Source organism: Homo sapiens, chromosome 18 (assembly GCF_000001405.40).
Source record: "Homo sapiens chromosome 18, GRCh38.p14 Primary Assembly".
NCBI classification, from domain to species: domain Eukaryota; kingdom Metazoa; phylum Chordata; class Mammalia; order Primates; family Hominidae; genus Homo; species Homo sapiens.
Genome location: NC_000018.10, coordinates 57,433,565 through 57,450,437, shown reverse-complemented (window position 1 = coordinate 57,450,437; position 16,873 = coordinate 57,433,565). Strand labels below are relative to the sequence as shown.

Below are 16,873 nucleotides of genomic sequence, written 5' to 3'. Positions count from 1 at the left end.
CTTTAGGAAGCCAAGGCAGGTGGATCACTTAAGGTCAGGAGTTTGAGACCAGCCTGGCCAGCATGGTGAAACCCCATCTCTACTAAAAATACACAAATTAGCCAGGCATAGTGACAGGTGCCTGTAATCCCAGCTACTCAGGAGGCAGAGGCAGGATAATCAATTGAACCCTGGAGACGGATGTTGCAGTTAGCCGAGATCGCACCACTGCACTCCAGCCTGGGTGACAAAGTACGGCTCCAGATCAAAAAAATAAAATAAGAAAAGAATACCCCCTTTTGAGAGAAGAAGCTAGAAAAGAATGATAGATGTAAGTAAACATACCCAACCTATTCTCTCGTTGAGAATAGGGGCTTCTGTAAAGATAGACAGGAGGCCACCAAATGACTTACTCAAAAAAGAATACCTGGTGTGGGTTCAGCCATGGACCAGCAGTCCATGGGGAGCTCAAAGATATGCTATCTCCCCTCCAGAGCCATGGGGAAGAAAGGGAGACACAGAAAAGACCTAGAGAGCAGTGTAAGACCAGAGCCAACAAGGCTGTTCTGTCATTTGCAATGATTGCAAATCGAGTTCAGAAAGAAACAGAAAGGAATGGGCCAAAGTTAGCTGGGAAGATTTCAGAGGCAGATCGGAGGTGGCTAGGAATGATAGGACCTGGAGAAGGACTGATGAGATAAGGAATTCCAGGCAGAAGGAACAGAACGTGCAAAGACATGGACAGGACAGTGAGGACAATGCCTGAGCAGGAAAACGAGGAGAACTGACTGACTGGGGAGGGTTACTTTGGGGTAACTAGAGCCAATTGGCAAAATGGGTCCTTAGTCTAGAGTCTAGTGATGATCATTTCACATCTCTTGCTCCACTGGCGATAATCTGAAGATTTGGATAAGACTCAATCCTACTTTGAGATTCCCTTAAAATTAATACATAGTTATAATATCGTAATTTGGGAGGAAAATGACATTGATGAGAACTTGACATTGTGAAATGCTTCTCCTAAATGATGTGCTGGGGCTGATGATTCCTACTCAGATGCCATCTACAATAATATGGGGGAAATACAATGGGTAGAAACAGTGTCATATAAAAGAAAAGTATTTATTAACTTATTCACAGATATTTATTGGCTGCCTCCTGTATGCTGTATCTAACCTCCTCTTCTGGATCTTAATCTAATGGGCTGACACTGACAAGTCAGCAGGCGATACCTATCTATGTTCTAAATGCAAAGGGAGGGATGGTCCAAAGAGATCCCAATTTAGGAGGACAGAGAAAACTTCACAAAAGCAGGGACATCTATATACAGGAAGCATGGGGTCCTGAGAAGGCAGGAGAGGATTTGGTCTTCAACAGGAAGTCCACCTCTTCCTCTTCAGAAGAATGAAGGAAAGGATGAGAAGGGTTAGTCATTGAAAGTGAATACAGAATTCACTCTTGTCCCTTGAACATGAACAGAAATGAACTCTGGTATACATTAGGAGGCAATTGCATCCAAGACGAATTTTTCCCCTACATCTTTTAGGTTTGGGGATCTATGGCACTGATTCAGAAAAGCATAAAATTATCTTACTCCACACACTTTTCAGTATTTAGGGTCAAAACAGATAATAGAAAAGGTCTTGTTTATGTGGCAGTTCTGTAAAATATCTTTTCAAAAGCATATTGAGTTCACTACAAAGGAAATGCATTCAGTACAAGTCCTTGTAGAGTGTAATGCCTCATTTTAGTAAGATGCAGTGATGCATATAAAGTAGGCCAAAAAGGCTACACTTACTGTTGCCAAATCCATGTTTTACTGGAAAAGGTTTTGACAGTGGAACCCAACAACTCCTGAGAAAGGCACGTCCACAGATTCGAAGACTACACAGCTGGAAGAAACTTCTTTAGTCAAAGCTTACAAAATACATTTAACACCCATTTTTATATCTGATTCAGATATGTTCCTGCTCATTTTTAGAACAAAATTTTGGGCATTTAGACACACAGAAACAATTTTTTTCAACATCAAATTTGAATGCTCTACCAGGTTTGTTTTGTTTTGGGATGGATTTTCCCTCCTTTTACACAAAGGGCCACCTGGAACTTGAAGATAAATTGTCACAGGGGAAAAAAAATTCTCATTTATCATACCCTTGACTTTTAAAGGAGACACACTTGTCTATTCCAATGCTCTACCTCCCTGAGAACCACCTTAGCAATAAATTAGGTCTGAACTAAAGTTATTTGAAATAAAGCAAGAGTTTTACATTTTAATTAGCTTTGGGAAGTCAAGGACCATTTTACTCGAAACCCAAAGAGATGTGAGTTGTGCTCAATCATTGACCAAAAGGACTCTCCTATCTCTTTTCTCTGGAATAAAACCAGAAATAAAGCAAAGCAACTGATTGAAAAAGGCCAGAGTCAGGGGTCAGTGCCTACTGTCAGTTCTCACCCTGGCCAGTGCCATATGACTCCACTGTGTGGCCTGGAGGAAGTCACTCAACATCTCTGGCCCTTCGTAGGGGGTCAGGGACAGAAGCAGTGGCAAGGTTTTCATTAAAAAGAGCCTCATCACTAGACTCTCAAGAAATCAAATCCAGTTTCTAGATTTATCGAAGGTGGTGATGCTCCACAGTTGGTTCTCCTTGTGACATTACTGCTGCTATAATGTGAGAATATTGTTTAATATAATAAAAGTCATGCTTTCAAAAATCAGGAGCATGCATCTGGGGAAACAAAAGCATCCGTTTGTGTATACCTGGGGGGTGGGGCGTGGGGGCAGGCAGACAGTAACACTTGAAAGGAAATCCTAAATCTAAAACATCCCGTTGAGGGTGGCAATCATGCCTGCAGAAGGCAGCAACATGGAGAAAAATAGTTCAATCCCCCGCCCCCCAGCGGTGGTAATGCTCTTCCTCTTCAGAGGGAAAGTCTTTCAGCATCTTTTGTCTTCTCACCCAGATGCCGCCTCCTCTTCCCTTTATTATCGCTGATCTCACACAGAGAGCTGAAAAGCCACAGGGCTCCAGAGGAAAATATGAGGCCCTGCACTGGGGCGCTGAGACCTACAGAGCTGGAGATACTGGTCAGGCTCTTGCCTGGATTTAACCGCAGTAGAGGGTCCATCTCCAATTCGCTCAAACAGCGTTCCTCCATGGCGCTGTTCGTGGTGCTGAAGCCTGCGCCGGGGCGTGGAGGCAGCAACCCACCCACAGGCGCTCTGCTACCAGGGGCTCCAGGCAGGGGTCCATGTGAAGCAAGTGTGGAAATAGCTGCCACCCACAGAGCTACAGCCAGCTCCACAGTCTGGCTCGAAGTCTAGCTCACTGGCTCACTTCTTTGCAATTGCAAAACGGCTGGTTCACTTTTTCTCTTTCCAGGGGATTTCACAAAGCCTAAACTCGAGTTTGCTGATTTGGCATATCTCTTTCTCGATGTCCTCCCTGTAGATGCTAATTCTCTCCCATCCTCTCTCCTTTGTACAATATTTTATCTTTGCAGAACACCTTACAGTTGGCACAGCCCTCACTGGCACAATCAACGGAGCCATTTTTCTTCCACACATAATCATTCGTTTTCCCTCCCACGGCTATTTTTTGCTTTCTTTGCTTCTCTTCCCCCAAGCACAGTCCAACTAAGCAGGAGACTATTACCTCAATGTGCAGGATGGGCAAATCACCTCACCTATGACAGCAGAACTGTTGATTTCTCCTTGGCAATGAATTAGAAGAGGCAGAGGTTACAGTTTCAAAGGACCAGGAAAAAGCCCTTTAAGCTACTTCTAGGAAGATAATGCTTGCATGGGTAGTGATCTGCAGGGTGGGGAATGGGGACAAGGATATTAGGAACAAAGTGAAGGAAGGGGCTTGGACCTTGTGGAAGGTGCAGGGCTTAGTGCAGTTAGAAGACTCCCGGCAGGTGGCACTCTAGTTCACCTGCTGGCGGTGGAAGCCCTGACTGTGCTCCCCGACTCCACTTGAAACCTTTCTTCCACCAAACAGCCCCCCAGCCATGTTTGGAGGTCTGTCTTCCCCTTGATCCAAGCACTTATCAGAACTATATTCCTGCTAAAAGCACCGTTTGCACAATTCTGTTTACTGTAATGCACAGTAATGAAGAGAACATAAATAGAAAATAGAGGGGCAGTGGGGGGATTTTCTGTATGTGTGTGATTGATGGTGCTCAGATCAAAACTGTTTAATCATCAAAACATGATTCAGCAGTTGGGAAATGTAAACAAGTTGTGCAATTGCTTGCTTTAGTCAAAACTCTGGAAAGGGCCCAGAGGGCTGGCCCGAGCCCCTGGGAGGGCAGTGCCAGCAGGATGCGACCCCAACCTTCCTACCAGGGCAGAGCTGCTATGCCTACAGACTGACTGGCGTGACCTTTGGCTTTTGCAGCACACAAGCAGTTGGGCCGGGGTTAATGGCACTTTGCAGGGAGCTCCAATTGAGTAAACAAAAAATGCCTTGCCCTGTTCTAATGGAGCACATTATTCTGAGGCCTAAGCCTTCATCCAGGCTCCTGCAGCTGCTCTGCAGGTCAGTGCTACCAATAAAGCAATTAGCCAATGAGAAAACTCTTCTTCCCCGAGGGGGACTCCAGGGTATTGCTGCAGTTACTGTGCTTTGCTTTGGTTTTTTAAACAAGTGATCCAAGTTGATCTGAGCCTTTTACATCAGACTCTAGGATGAAGACAGTGAAATTGTGTTTGCTGAGTGTGATATTTTAAGGGACTGATCCCTTGTTCAACACAGCCTGGAGAGCTCACTGCTTCCTGTTCAATTAACCTGAACCATAGCTGAACTCTGCCCTTTGAACTCGCTCAGCAGATAAATACATTAGCTCACCTACGAAATCATTAATATTTTTCAATCACATAAAACAAACATGAATGTACAAAAACAACCCAAGAGATAGCCAATTAGAAACAGGTCATGTACCGTGTTGAAAAAAATCACAAATGGATGTTATTTAGACAGGAAAAAAGGATCAGGGAAGAAATGAAATGGATTGTGCCGATGGTTCTGGAGGCAAATGAGACTTACATTTTCATATCTACAAGCAAGAGGGATACTGAGCAATATCTGGCAATTCCTATTGCGTCTACTCTGCTCCACAACAAAAGTTCTACCCGTTGCTTCCCACATCCAGCAGAACACAAAAACTCCAAATCCTCTCTCTTTTCAAGTGACTTCAGTGTTTATGCTCATATACAGAGTCCAAAATATTGCATTTCTGGGGAGAATCCTTTTTCTGATTTGCTACAAATGAACCAAAATAATTGTGGCAACATCACTGCTTTTAAGTGAACCAATCTTAATGAAGCAAACTGGTGGCTTAATTGAAATAATTTTACAGTAGAAAATGATGTTCCTGAGACATTTTTACTCTAGGCATATAAACAGATTTTCTTTTCTCATAAAAAAAAAGATGCCAAATGCATCTATTTTGTCTTTATCCCTGCATGTCATTTTAGAAGAATGAGAAAAACATCCCCAACTGGGTCATTACACATTTCAGTTTGATTTAATTTCACTTCCCACAATTCTGCCTCCTGACCCCCTCTCTTCCCACCCCCCTTCCCATTTTTGTTTGGTTTGGAGTGTGGGCTTAATGCCCAGCTATCCTAGATGAGAACACTTAAAGGAATATCACAAGCACGAAGGGTAAATCTATTGAACGAGGGTCTTTAACTATGTGGTTTCCTTAAAGGGAAAGGTTGGATCAATAGGATCAATATGAAAGGTTTCCCTGGCCCTGCATAAAAGGATAAGGGCTTCTCTTTTCACTGGTTTAACTTTACTCTCTGACAAATGCAAATCAATGGATCTGTGTTTACAACAGATTCCCTAGCAGACTCAACTTGGGCAAAGCCCAGAACCTCACCCTGGGGGGTGGGGACTCCAAGCTTGCTCCAGGAGGACGCAGTAGGGCACAGCTTCATGCTCAAGGGCACTGGGGTGGAGTGGGAAGCAAGCTGCCAATGGCTGCCAATCACCCTTAAAAGGAAAGGCTTGCTACCCACCCAGATCCTGCTGGAACTCAAGGAGCTGCTGCTGCCTGTGGCCTCTCCAAATACGGCAGAAAAATGAGCCGTCAAACAGGTTCCTTCAAGGATGTCAATGCAACATAAGTAATAAAGCCCACATTCTAGAATTTGGTGAGCCAGTCAACCTAGTTTCCTATCCTTAACCATCTCCAAGGCTGATTGCACAGAGAAAACTGTAAATGAAATATCTACAATTGGAGCAGCACAAGTATTTATGCTCTAGGAATGCTTCTTCTGCCCTTTCTTAAGTGGTAACTGGCTCTTCTTAGTATGACAAAGCAAACCACTAACACTGCGGGTTCTTTTCCCCTTAATTTTACCTTTCCCTTTAAAAATGTGATGCTTTCCAGAGATTACATGACTTCAAGTCAATACCAGTTACAGAGAAATTATTTTTCTTCTTGCAGGAGAAAGTATATGTATATTTGATTACAAGAGCCAAAGTCCAATGCTGATTAAATTACATTGGAGGTGTGCTTCCAACCCAAACAAAGTCTGCTTTCTACAGAAGAGTAATGGGTCCTCAAATGGTGAAAGAGGTGCCGAGGTGGAATGCAGAGCCTCCCTGCCCTTTGGGACAATTTGTGTGGGACAGTTTTTCATAATAAACGTCCACAGCTTCTAGGAATCCTGCTCCCGAAGTGAGGCTATCTCTATCTGCACAGCCCACAGCCTGCCTCCAAGTCTTGCCCATCTGCACCATGTCAGGCATTAGATGGGCTGGGTCACACAATCCACGTCCCTACCTTTTCCCCACCTGCCCCTAGAAAAACCTATGCACATTTTTCAGCCATTGCCTTGAATGAGACTGGGAAATCAAAAAGCCTTTCCCCCAAAGGCACAGAGGTTGGTTAGGGAAAAAGCCTGGGTGATAAGAGGGGGTGATAGGGCCCCACAGGGTGAGTTAGCCTGACGGAGCTCTATACCTGACAGCATAAATAAATCACCCCAGAGGGCTTCCTCATTATGGACTCTCCCCTCTAAGAAGAGTTGTCTCCCTGGAGGAAGCAACTTTTCCCAAGTCAGCAAAAACAAAGGTCCCTAAAAGGGTCAGAAGTCAGCACAGCCCAGGGAGTCTAGATGAAGTTTAAGGCCTAGGGTGCCTCTGTCTTCACCCTCCTCCCCAGGGCCCTTTATACAGGCAATTATTTCTATTTATTCCCTCCTAATTTCCCTTCCTTTGGCAAGAACCCAGAAACTAAATCTCTCTGCTTCTCCCTTGAGGTCTTCCTTGCTCCAGGGATCCCCCTCCATGATACCACTTTTCATGAAGACAGTTTCTGCCAAATCCAGCCACTAGCCATGGAGTGTGGAGCCCAGGACTTTCTTCCTGAGAGTTTTTCAGTCCTGTTCCTCTGGTCTCTTCTTTGAAGAGAAGTGTCTAAAGGCCAGAAAACCTGGTGGGGAGGCTCTCTCTCATATCGGGGGTGACTGTAAAATGAAGCCTTGGTTTGAAGACAGCAGGAGAGGCTGGCTCTCCTTCCCTCAGGGCTGAAGTCTGGCACTTGGGATGGTAAAACTGGCCTAGGGTACTGTTACCTCAGGGCAGACCTGGCTCAAAAGGAGAGTGAAGCAGCTGCTGGTGCCTTGTAGGGACAGAGAATCTGGGGTAATCAGTTTATCCTTTGCCCAGACCTCACCATTCACCAGGAATCCTGCCCAATCTTGGAATTCTAAGATGGGAGTAGGAGAGAGTCTATGATTCTATCCTCTAAAGGCCCACTCGCCCCTCCCAGGGCCTAGGAGTCTTTCAAGTGGGGGCTGTGGGGAGGGAGCCAGTTGTCCGCCAGACCAAAGGGAAACCACCTGCTCTCCTCCTTAGTTACATATCTGATTACCCAGCTATCTCATTGTAGTTTAAAAGGGTCCGGTAGGGCACTTTCTGACTAGGAACCAAGGTGGTGTACCAAAGCTCCCTTCTTTAAGGAAGAACACTAGTGGGAAGATGAGGAAGAAACACCAGCCTACCCTCTGCCTCAACTCAAAGCAGAACAATGCACGATTTGCTTTCCCATCTCTCTTTTCCTTCCTCTTATTAATTACTGTTCTTGGAGAGGGCTGGAAAACACTGCTTTCCCTCCCGATTGATACCCGCTGTTGGAAAAGCTCAGCCTTCTTCAACAGGTGGGATTCATAATTTCAAAAAAAAAAAAAAAAAACCCAGAAGAATTAGTTCTCATCCTACTCCCACTTAGGTCCCTGATCTTTTATTTTTTTTCCATAAAATTCACCTTAGTGCTCCTTCTGGAAAAACAAGCCACCATTTGGCCAGGGGAGTGGTTGGCAGGGTGTGGTGGTGTCCCCCACAAGCGGGAAGGAAGAGCTTTAAAGTTCTTTCTTTTCCAGTCAATGCAGGTGTTCCACAGGACACCTCCTTACCCGCGATGGGCCAGTGACCCGGGCCTCGGCCCAGGACGTCCAGGGGGTGGGAAGGGGTGGGGCAGGGGTTCCCCAGTTTGCTTCTCTTACTTCCTGTCCCAGCCAAGGTAGGACACAAGATTCTCCCTGTTAGACCCGACCAGTCCAGCGCAGAGCCTGCTACTCGGAGGGATGAAGCTCAGGCTTTTGTTACTAGGGCCACGTTTAATTGTCCAACGAATGCACCTGCGTAAAAAGTCTGCGCGTGAGCCTTTTTAGTACGAGAACCGATGAGGATAGGAGGGGATCTGCGGCTGATTAAGCTCTGCCGTTAGCAGGCAGCTTTAGCCACGTCATTTTCAAACTTGGGCTTAGTCACCAGGGCCCAGTGGCAACGGCCAAGCACAGGATAGTTAGGAAGACTCGGGCACCGTTCAGCGCATTGGCTTCGCGGACCCAGCCGCCCAGGCGGATCGCCGGAAGCGCAAGTAGCGGTGTGTGCGCACAGGGGCGGGTGGTGCAGAGGTCGGGGGAGGGGGTGCAGAGGGCAGAGAGCCCCGCGAGAGGAGGAGAAAACCTCGGGGAAGTAAGGCGGGCTGGGGCCTCGCGGGGGAGGAGCTGCGGTCAGACGGGAGAACCCGCGCAGAGCTGGCGAAGCGGCACCGCTGGAAAACCGCGGGGCCGTGGCGCTGGTGAGCGCTCTGCTGGGAAGAGCGCGCCGTCGGGCTTACTGGAAACGCGCCGGATCAAGTTCCAGATCAATGAAATCTGGGTCCACACGTTTACGTTATTGTTGCCAGCATTAATGCTCTTTTAATCTTCTAAACATTATCAGCATCGATCTCCCTCCATATACACATTTGTTTGAGAAAGTGACATAACCACACAGTGGAAAGCCTGGAATAAAAATAAATGCCCAGCCTCTCGCATCGAGGGCGCCTGGCTGCCTGGGCTGCTTCTCCTGCTCGGGTTCACTCTCCTCCCTCGGGTCCCGCCTCCTCTGCCCGCTCCCGCCCACCCTGATGCGTGTTGGGAAGGTGTTCTCCCGGCACCCGGGACTTGACGAAGCACAGACTGCAGCGAACTTTTCAATTATTCATCCAAGCAGCTAGCAGGCAAACATATCGTCTGTTCCGTACTGGCACGGGTTGCGTTCAGCCTCTCCAGCTCTGATCCCTAACTAAACCGCCAGGAGAGGTGGGCTGAGTCGGGAGCCCTAGCAGCGAGAAACGAGGTGGGAGGTTGGGGGGTGGGCGCGAGACTCTGCGAAGGGGGTCCGTTTCCTCGGCTTGGGAGGTGCCCAGCGGCCCGTGTCACCCAAGGACGTCCCCGGCGCAGCGGGAGACAAGCACGCACGCGGTGCCCCTAGCAGGAGCCACTGCGCACTGCCCGGGCCGTGTCCCGCCGCTGCGGGCATCAGGTGGCCCAGGCGACATCATGGTGGGTTGGCTAAGGGCCCTCGGCCGCCTGAACAGAATTGGCTTCAGACTGGCCGCTGGGAGCTTGCTGCCAGGAGAGGGCCGTGCGTCGGACTACGGCGGGGACTGGAGACCAGCTCCGGGCAGGCCGCTGGGGGATCCGGGCTCACTGGAGGCGGAAACCTCTGCAGTAAATGTAGTCGGGCGCTCGGCTCGATTTTCGGGCGTCGGAAGAAAACATGCCTGCCACCGAGGCCTCGCTTTTCCTCAGTGGGATGCCCGTGCAAGTTCTAGCCTGGGTTCTCTCACTCCCTTCTTGTTTGTGCTTGGTTTAGAGGTCTCTGGGGCCCAACGCCCGAGAGTGTGTGCTCGAACCCGCAGAAATTTGTCTTGGCCGCCTCTTGTCAGGTTGCTGAAAACCGCCCTGCAAGGGCTGGTCTTGGGGAACCTCTGCGAAGGCCCGACCGGGCGGGGTTGCAACCACCTGCCACTTAGCCGCCCTTTCCGAACGAATCCGTGCATTTGGAGTCAATTTCTCTGAAATCTAACGTTGGGGCAATCTAAATTTCTCCGAAGTTTTCTCCCTTTTCCTTTCAAGTGCCACCCTTGGCTGTGACTACACCGGCAGGCTGGGCAGGAAGGACCTGCCTCTGTTGTGACCTCGCCTAAGGGTGAGCTTTGCCGGCGCTGGCCAAATCAGACCTCTTCATTCTGAGCCCCCTAAACCCCGGCCTGCTTGGCTGTTTGGCAGGACCCGGGGGCGGGGCCAAAATGAGAGAGAAAGGGAACCTATAACCTATGAGAGAAAGAGAAGAGGCAGGTTTGGCGGGAGGGGGGCAGGGACGGTGTCTTCCAGGCACCGGTCTGAGAGTCCGGCCGAGCCGCCTGCGGAGCGGCTGGGCTTGTTAAACCCCCGGGGCCCAACGGCGAGGGCCCTCTGCGGCGTACCGGCGGGGATTCCGATCGATACTCCGGGCGGAGAAAGCCTCCGCTTTTCTTCTCCATTTGCTCCTGTCCCCTAGCGCTCCGAGCACATAATACCTACTTACCAGTCCCAGCTTCTGCATCAGTGTCTGAAGAGACTGATCTACTGACCCCAAACTGAAAAGCCTCCTATGTAATAATAACCACTCAACACACTTGTAGTTGCTGATAAAATGGCCAGATAAAAAGGCTAAAGCTCTTGTCCCTTTTCAACCCAGGGTAATAAAACAGACACACATTTGAATGCTCGAGCAAAGCGGGGTCCTCAGCAGGCCTTTTCCACTCGCTGGAGGAGGCATTCTGTCTCCCACGAAGGCAGCTTCAGCGATCCTCTGCGGAAAATCTAGCAGCGTGGGCAGTGCTGTCCCGGGCCTGTCCCTGCAGACTTGCACCATGGGCGCGGGTGGGGCTGAGGACCCCCGGGATGCCACGCTTTCTCATCTCAGCAACGCTTGGGATCATTTTAAAAGCTGAAACTCGCTAATAGGCGAAGCATTACTTTCCTCATCACTTTCAGACCTATATGGGCAGAAGGCACGTGTTTTTTAAAAGCTGTGTTCTTTGCGCGACCGGCATGAGGGGGCGGCAGCGCTCTGAGATGAGCAGGAGAATAGCTGTCATCCTGCCTTTAACTGTACCCCTAAGACCAGCTGCCAAGTTCCTTCTGGTCCCCGGTGCCCAAGAAGCCGGCGGGTACTAAAACCCACCAGAGACAGCCTGGGACATTCGGGGGGATCTATGACAAAATGTTAAGAACTGTCAGCCAGTCTCCAGTTCATTTCCCGCCGCTATTATTATCGCTCTCTACTGGCTGCTTTATCTTGCCCCGAACCAACAGCAAATCAGAGAAAACTGTAGGAGAGGATGAAAAATAAACTAAAGGAGAAAGATTACATAAATTTCTAAATCCACTCAAAGTATCCGGAGTCCGCCGATTTGGGGGAGGCTCTTTGCAGGGAAACCTAGTTTTCTTTACCTTCTTAGATCAACACTGCGGGGCGATTACCGACTGGGAATAGGAATCCACCAGCAGACGGCAAAGGAAAATGCTGTCAAAGCGGAAACTCCCCCTCCCCAAGCCCGGGTGAACCTGCTGCCTGTCACATTCCCCAGCCCTGTCGGGCGTTGGTCGAGTGCACCCCACAAGCTGGGCTCAGCGGTGCGAGGAAAGCCCGGGGGATCGGGGGTGGAAACCTGAGCTCGCAGCTCCGGAAGCGAGCTGTGCGAGGCTGGCTCGGAACCGCGCGCATCCCAAGACCCGCGCTATGCAAATCATCGCCACCACGAATTGTTCCCCTAGACCGCCCGCCGATCCTGAAAGATACCCCCCTCCACCCGATCCATGGGAAGTCGCCCACCCTGGCTTGCCATAGGGTATAGTGTGTCCTTCCCAGCGGGGGACCTGGACATTTTGCCCCTCTGGGCCCGTGGCTTGCTCCTAGGGGCAGCGCAGTCGCCACGCACACCGCGCGGGGTCCGTGCGCACAAAAGCGCGCAACTGCGTGCCAGTCGCAGTAACTACTGCATCTTTCCCTCTAGCTCGCGCACCCGCCGCCCACACAGGAGGTTTCTGTGCTCCTAGAACAATAGAGGGCTGTACCTCGCAGCTTGGCCGCTAGAGGAGGCACAAAGAGCCGAGCCGGCTCCAGAACAATGTAACCCGCGCCTCTACCCGTCCCCTCCCGCGGGCCGCCAGTCCTCCCCGCGGTCGCCAGGCGCGCACAATCAGCGCCCGCTTAATGCAAAGGCGGAGCCTGCAGCCGGCGGCAGGGATGCATTAACTAACCTGAATTTTTAATTTCTCAGCACCTCTTCCTGCGAGTGCTCAGGGTCTCCCGGAGCCCCGGCAAATCCTGGCAAATCCCAGCAAACGCTGGGACCGGGGCAAGGACGGCCGGTGAGCAAGGCAAAGCGCTTTCCACCTCAGTCTCTTCTCCCACGTCCTCCCAAAGCGGTGAATGTGACCTTCTCAACCTTACACCCTGCCCTCGCTGTAGGTAGTGACATTGGAGCTGGCCCGAGCCCCTCAAGCCCGGTCAGAAAGTCCCTGCGCCAACGCCAAGGCCAGAGATGGGCTCCAGGAGCGCTGTTGTATCCTGGCCGCCGGTTCCCCGCGGGGGCAAGGCTGTGCCTTCAGCCAATGACCAAATAAGTTTGCCTATATGGTGGGTGGGAGAGTAGAGAGCTCTTTTCCCTCTGCAGAGCAAAGCCTCTCAACTGCCTCTGCACAGGGAGACTAGTCAGCCCGGAAAATTGAAATGTGTTGTCTAAAAGAGACTTGAAGTGCATGGGGTTTTGAATAAGGGCAGGTCCTGGTTTCTGTGGGTCTTGGAAAGACAGGGCTCCTAGAGGAAAACGCACACCCCCATCCCGCCTCCCAGTACCTGGGAAGATCGGAAATAGGGCAAAGGTTGGCACATTGAGGGGAGGGCGAATGAAATGGGGGGGGGTCGGTCAATGAAAGCTCAGGGACAAGGAGAGAGTAAGAAAGAAAAAGAAAAGGGAGAAGGGAAAGTAGGGGAAGAGCGGAAGAGAAAGAGAAAATGGAAGAAGAAATAAAAACGAGAAGAAAGAGGACGTGTATAGGAAAGAGAAGGAAAGAATCAAGAGAAGTGACTCGGCGCGCAGACTTGGGCCACAAGCACCGGACCCGGAGCCCTCTTCCCAGCAGCCTGGCCCCTGGCTAGCCCCGGCCTTACCTGCCAGGCGTAAGGCGGACATGCGCTGGAACTCGGGCTCCTGAAGCCACTTCCACATCCTGCGGAAGGTCTCCCTGCCAGATTTGAGTTTACTCCACGGTTTTGGATTCCGGAGCAGGTCGGAGAGAGTCCCCTGAGACCGGCACAGCACCCTCTGCGCAAAGATCGCCTGGGGGATACTGTAGCGCTTCAGCTCCGCTGTGATGCGCTGGGCCACCTCTTTGGTGTTGATTTCTTCCAGCTGGCCCGACGTGGCCACCTGCGAGCCCGATGAGGACGAGGGTGGCCGCTCGCGACTGGGTGCCAGCACCGGCCCGTGAGACTGAGTGTGGCCCGGGTGGTGCAGGCCGTTCAGGTGCGACATCATGGCCGCAGGTGGGGTGCCCAGGCCGCGGGACAGGTGTTGCTCACCGCGGGTCAGCATGGCAGTGTGGTGCGCGTCGAAGTTGGGGCTGAGCATTTTGTCGTGGCCCGGCGGACCGTAGTTGGGCAGACTCTGCTGCGCGTTGTGGAGGCCGCCTAGCCCGTTGCCCAGCGGCGTGGCGGCCAGCGGGGACAGGCTCTGGCTCATGCCGGGCATCTCCTTGTAGGGACTGTAGAGGTTGTTCATGGCCGGGAGCCCGCGCTCGTCGCGCATGAGGGTGAAGCTGCCGCTGACGTTGCCGGACAGGCGCTGGTGGTGGTGGTGGTGGTGGTGGTGCGGATGGTGGTGCGGGTGAGGGTGGTGGAACTTGTCAGACACGGTGGAGATGGGTGGCAGCGGCTGGAGCGGTGTCAGCGTGGTGTAGGTGTTGCTCATGCCCATGCCAGGCGGAGACGAGTCGCAGGACATGCTCATGGCGTGGTGCAGCGGGATGGAGAGCTCGGGCCGGTAGTCGCCGCCGTCCAGGATCGAGGCCATGCTGGTGACCATGGCCGAGCGCGACGCCGCCGCTGCCGCCGCTGCCGCCGTGCCCAGCTCCTGGTGCGCGGTTGGAGGCGGCGGAGGGCCCCGCAGCGAGCCAGCGGCGCCGCGGCCCGCGTGGTGGGGGCTGGGGCTGGCCAGCAGCTCCTGCTCATGGCCCGGGCCCCCGCCGCCGCCCCCGCCGCCCCCGCCGCCGCCCCCGCCACTGCCGCCGCCGGCCGGCCCGTGCAAAGTGCCCAGACTTTCCATTGTCAGCTCCGGGTTCATGGCGCAGCCTTCTAGGTCTTTGGTGAGGCATCGATAGGCGGTGTAGGCAGCCTTCATTCAGTCCATCAGGGCCCGGGGGCGGCGGGGGCGGCGGGGGCGGCCGGCGGGCGGGCAAGGCGCGCGTGGCGGGGCTCGGCTGCGGGAGTGGGGGCGGGCGCGGGAGTGAGTGGAGAGGAGTGCGCGTGCGGGTGTGCGCCCCGGGCTGCGGGCGGGCTCGCCCGGGGTGGGGGCGGGGTGGGGGCGGACGGGGCGTGCGTGCGGGAGAGGGGAGGGGACGGGGAGGGAGGGAGGGATCACCGGGCCCCGCCGCTCGGGCCGGCTCGCAGCCTCGCCATGTCCGAGCCCGCTCCGGCGCCGACGTCTTCTGTTTGGGTGAGCGGGAGCTGTCCAGAAGGGCTCTGCCGCTCGCCGGGGCAGCCAACCTACCCTCCCGGACCTGGGGCGGGGCCACGCCCGACGGGCGCCAAGCGCAACCACTCCGAGGCCGCAGCTGCCCCGGGAGGCGGGCCTTCCACGGGAAGCTACCAGTGGCTGTGGAGGGGGCGGGGCCGCACTTTTCAGGTTTGGCTGACGGCTCGGTGCCTTTTTTACCTCCTTTGCTACTGGAATCAAACGTCAAGGAGAGGGAGGGAGGAGAAGGTGGGGGGGTCGCTGGGGAGAGGGAGGCTGGAGTGCGAGCGAGCGAGAGAGATTCGGTGAAAGATGCCGTGCTGTGTCCCCCCTGAGCAGCTGCGATCTGGGGGAAGGGGCATTGCTTCAATCGCCTTCGCCTCACCCCAAAGCTTTCCTGGAGGCGAGTAAGCCGGGAGCAAAAGACTCCGCTATGTGCCAGTATAGACAAACACTCGTCACTAACAAGCCACTTACCGAGAGTCCCTAGCTGGGAGCCAATAGTTTAGCCTTTTAAAATGCAGGCGCTAATGTATTCTAATGCATGGTAAATTCCCGAGGCCGGGACATGCATAATCTACGCGGTCAGAGCAACTGTAGTGCCCTCGTCGCCAGCGAGCTGCGGCCGGCCGGCGGCCCACGGGCGGCGCGGGCAGCAGTAATGCATGCAAAGTTAACACAATAACATCATTTAATTACCCGGTGAGCCCATAAATCTCAGTTATGAGGCTTCCGAAGAGCCCTGCTAGATTGCAAAACAAAACTAGAATTCCGGGAGCTGCCGTTTCAAGGTGACCAAGTGCTTTCTGCATCAGCGACTTGGAAAGAAGTGGGGAGAGTGTAGAACCGGTGAGGTGGAGGTGAGGAGGGTCGCTGGTGTCCCAAGTGAGCAAACTTCTCCTGGGGGCAGAGAGTAAGCAAACCAGCTGAGACGGCAACCACGGACCTTTCTCCTAACACGAGACACACACACGCGCACACACACACACACACACACACACACACACTCCCGCTTCTCTCAAATCCCGGGAGAGAAACGGCGGTGGGCAGACGACAAGGAATCCTGGCTGACACCTGCATATTCAAACCTTGTTTCTGAAAAGACCAGCGCCCCGGCCAGCCTGAGAACGCTCACAAGCCAAGGCTTTAAAAACCGCACCTACGTCTTCCTAGAATTTCCGTTGTTTGGCAACCCCAGGTCTGGAGGTGGGAGTGGAACTGGGGGACAGAGAGTTGGAGATTTCTGCAGTCCGAGTCGGGGTGGAGGGGTAGTTGAAGACAGAGAGGCCAACACCCGGCATAAAGCCTTAAACGTAACAAGATTCTTCCAAAGCAGGTTGCGCTCTGTTTGCCTCCGAAGATTCAAGCTAGCTGAGGTTGCGCAGATGTTGCCTTTGTTTAAAGAGACAGTAATTAAGGACAGGGTGGACATAAGTTTGAGAAGCGTGACCTATTTTCTTTTGATCAGCTGTCAAAAGAAGAGCAGGGGGTCTCCTTAAGACAGCCCCCTTCAACCACTTCCAGCTGTTAGAGAAAACTTGATAAGAAAACAAGGGCAGAGCTCGGAATACTGTATGTCCCTTCTTGGTGCCAGAGAAAGGTTTGATTCATTTGGAAAACAGTTCTTAGTCTCAGTGACCTTTTCTGCCGCCCTCCTCTCTCTTCTTGCTTCAGAGCAACACCCCCACCCCCACCCTGTCACATGAATGTACAGTGACGTTATTCATAGATCAACTTCATTGAGCTCTGGCCAATACGCTGCCAATTATTCTTTCAAATAGCGTCTTCTCTGTGTTATCAAAGCCTGAGTAAGAAAGCG

At 52.3% G+C, this 16,873-nt stretch overlaps 1 protein-coding gene across 5 annotated transcripts in view, besides 8 other annotated features; it reads right to left on the bottom strand.

Moving 5' to 3' along the window:
• Positions 1-15,064, bottom strand: part of ONECUT2 (one cut homeobox 2) — a 55,925-nt gene extending 40,861 nt beyond the window's left edge. For 4 of the 5 annotated variants that reach the window (XM_047437947.1, NM_004852.3, XM_047437946.1 and 1 more), the window contains exon 1: positions 13,494-15,064. In XM_047437947.1, the coding sequence (XP_047293903.1) occupies positions 13,494-14,721 (1,228 nt within the window). In that variant the 5' untranslated portion in view covers positions 14,722-15,064. Of the gene's footprint in view, positions 1-9,179; positions 11,314-13,493 lie in introns of those variants that run through there. The other variant, XM_047437948.1, reaches the window with a different exon arrangement.
• Positions 4,087-4,381: an enhancer, noted in NCBI's record as "tiled region #10477; HepG2 Activating DNase matched - State 5:Enh". NCBI's record gives its function as "activates a minimal TATA promoter and a strong SV40 promoter by Sharpr-MPRA in HepG2 cells {active_cell/tissue: HepG2}" and the evidence as "EXISTENCE:reporter gene assay evidence [ECO:0000049][PMID:27701403]".
• Positions 4,144-4,288: an enhancer, noted in NCBI's record as "145 bp enhancer 78 fragment used in the MPRA reporter construct; PK_construct_993". NCBI's record gives its function as "activates an SV40 promoter by MPRA in HepG2 cells {active_cell/tissue: HepG2}" and the evidence as "EXISTENCE:reporter gene assay evidence [ECO:0000049][PMID:23512712]".
• Positions 4,210-4,221: a transcriptional cis regulatory region, noted in NCBI's record as "FOXA motif; MPRA enhancer 78 activity is reduced when this motif is scrambled". NCBI's record gives its function as "necessary for full MPRA enhancer 78 activity {active_cell/tissue: HepG2}" and the evidence as "EXISTENCE:site-directed mutagenesis evidence [ECO:0005528][PMID:23512712]".
• Positions 10,796-11,551: an enhancer, noted in NCBI's record as "H3K4me1 hESC enhancer chr18:55106119-55106874 (GRCh37/hg19 assembly coordinates)". NCBI's record gives its function as "activates a minimal SCP1, AML or CMV promoter by ChIP-STARR-seq in naive H9 embryonic stem cells {active_cell/tissue: H9 hESC(naive)}" and the evidence as "EXISTENCE:reporter gene assay evidence [ECO:0000049][PMID:30033119]".
• Positions 12,308-13,063: an enhancer, noted in NCBI's record as "H3K4me1 hESC enhancer chr18:55104607-55105362 (GRCh37/hg19 assembly coordinates)". NCBI's record gives its function as "activates a minimal SCP1, AML or CMV promoter by ChIP-STARR-seq in naive H9 embryonic stem cells {active_cell/tissue: H9 hESC(naive)}" and the evidence as "EXISTENCE:reporter gene assay evidence [ECO:0000049][PMID:30033119]".
• Positions 15,135-15,184: a silencer, noted in NCBI's record as "silent region_9478". NCBI's record gives its function as "represses an Ori minimal core promoter by ATAC-STARR-seq in GM12878 lymphoblastoid cells {active_cell/tissue: GM12878}" and the evidence as "EXISTENCE:reporter gene assay evidence [ECO:0000049][PMID:35858748]".
• Positions 15,178-15,757: an enhancer, noted in NCBI's record as "H3K4me1 hESC enhancer chr18:55101913-55102492 (GRCh37/hg19 assembly coordinates)". NCBI's record gives its function as "activates a minimal SCP1, AML or CMV promoter by ChIP-STARR-seq in naive H9 embryonic stem cells {active_cell/tissue: H9 hESC(naive)}" and the evidence as "EXISTENCE:reporter gene assay evidence [ECO:0000049][PMID:30033119]".
• Positions 15,758-16,338: an enhancer, noted in NCBI's record as "H3K4me1 hESC enhancer chr18:55101332-55101912 (GRCh37/hg19 assembly coordinates)". NCBI's record gives its function as "activates a minimal SCP1, AML or CMV promoter by ChIP-STARR-seq in naive H9 embryonic stem cells {active_cell/tissue: H9 hESC(naive)}" and the evidence as "EXISTENCE:reporter gene assay evidence [ECO:0000049][PMID:30033119]".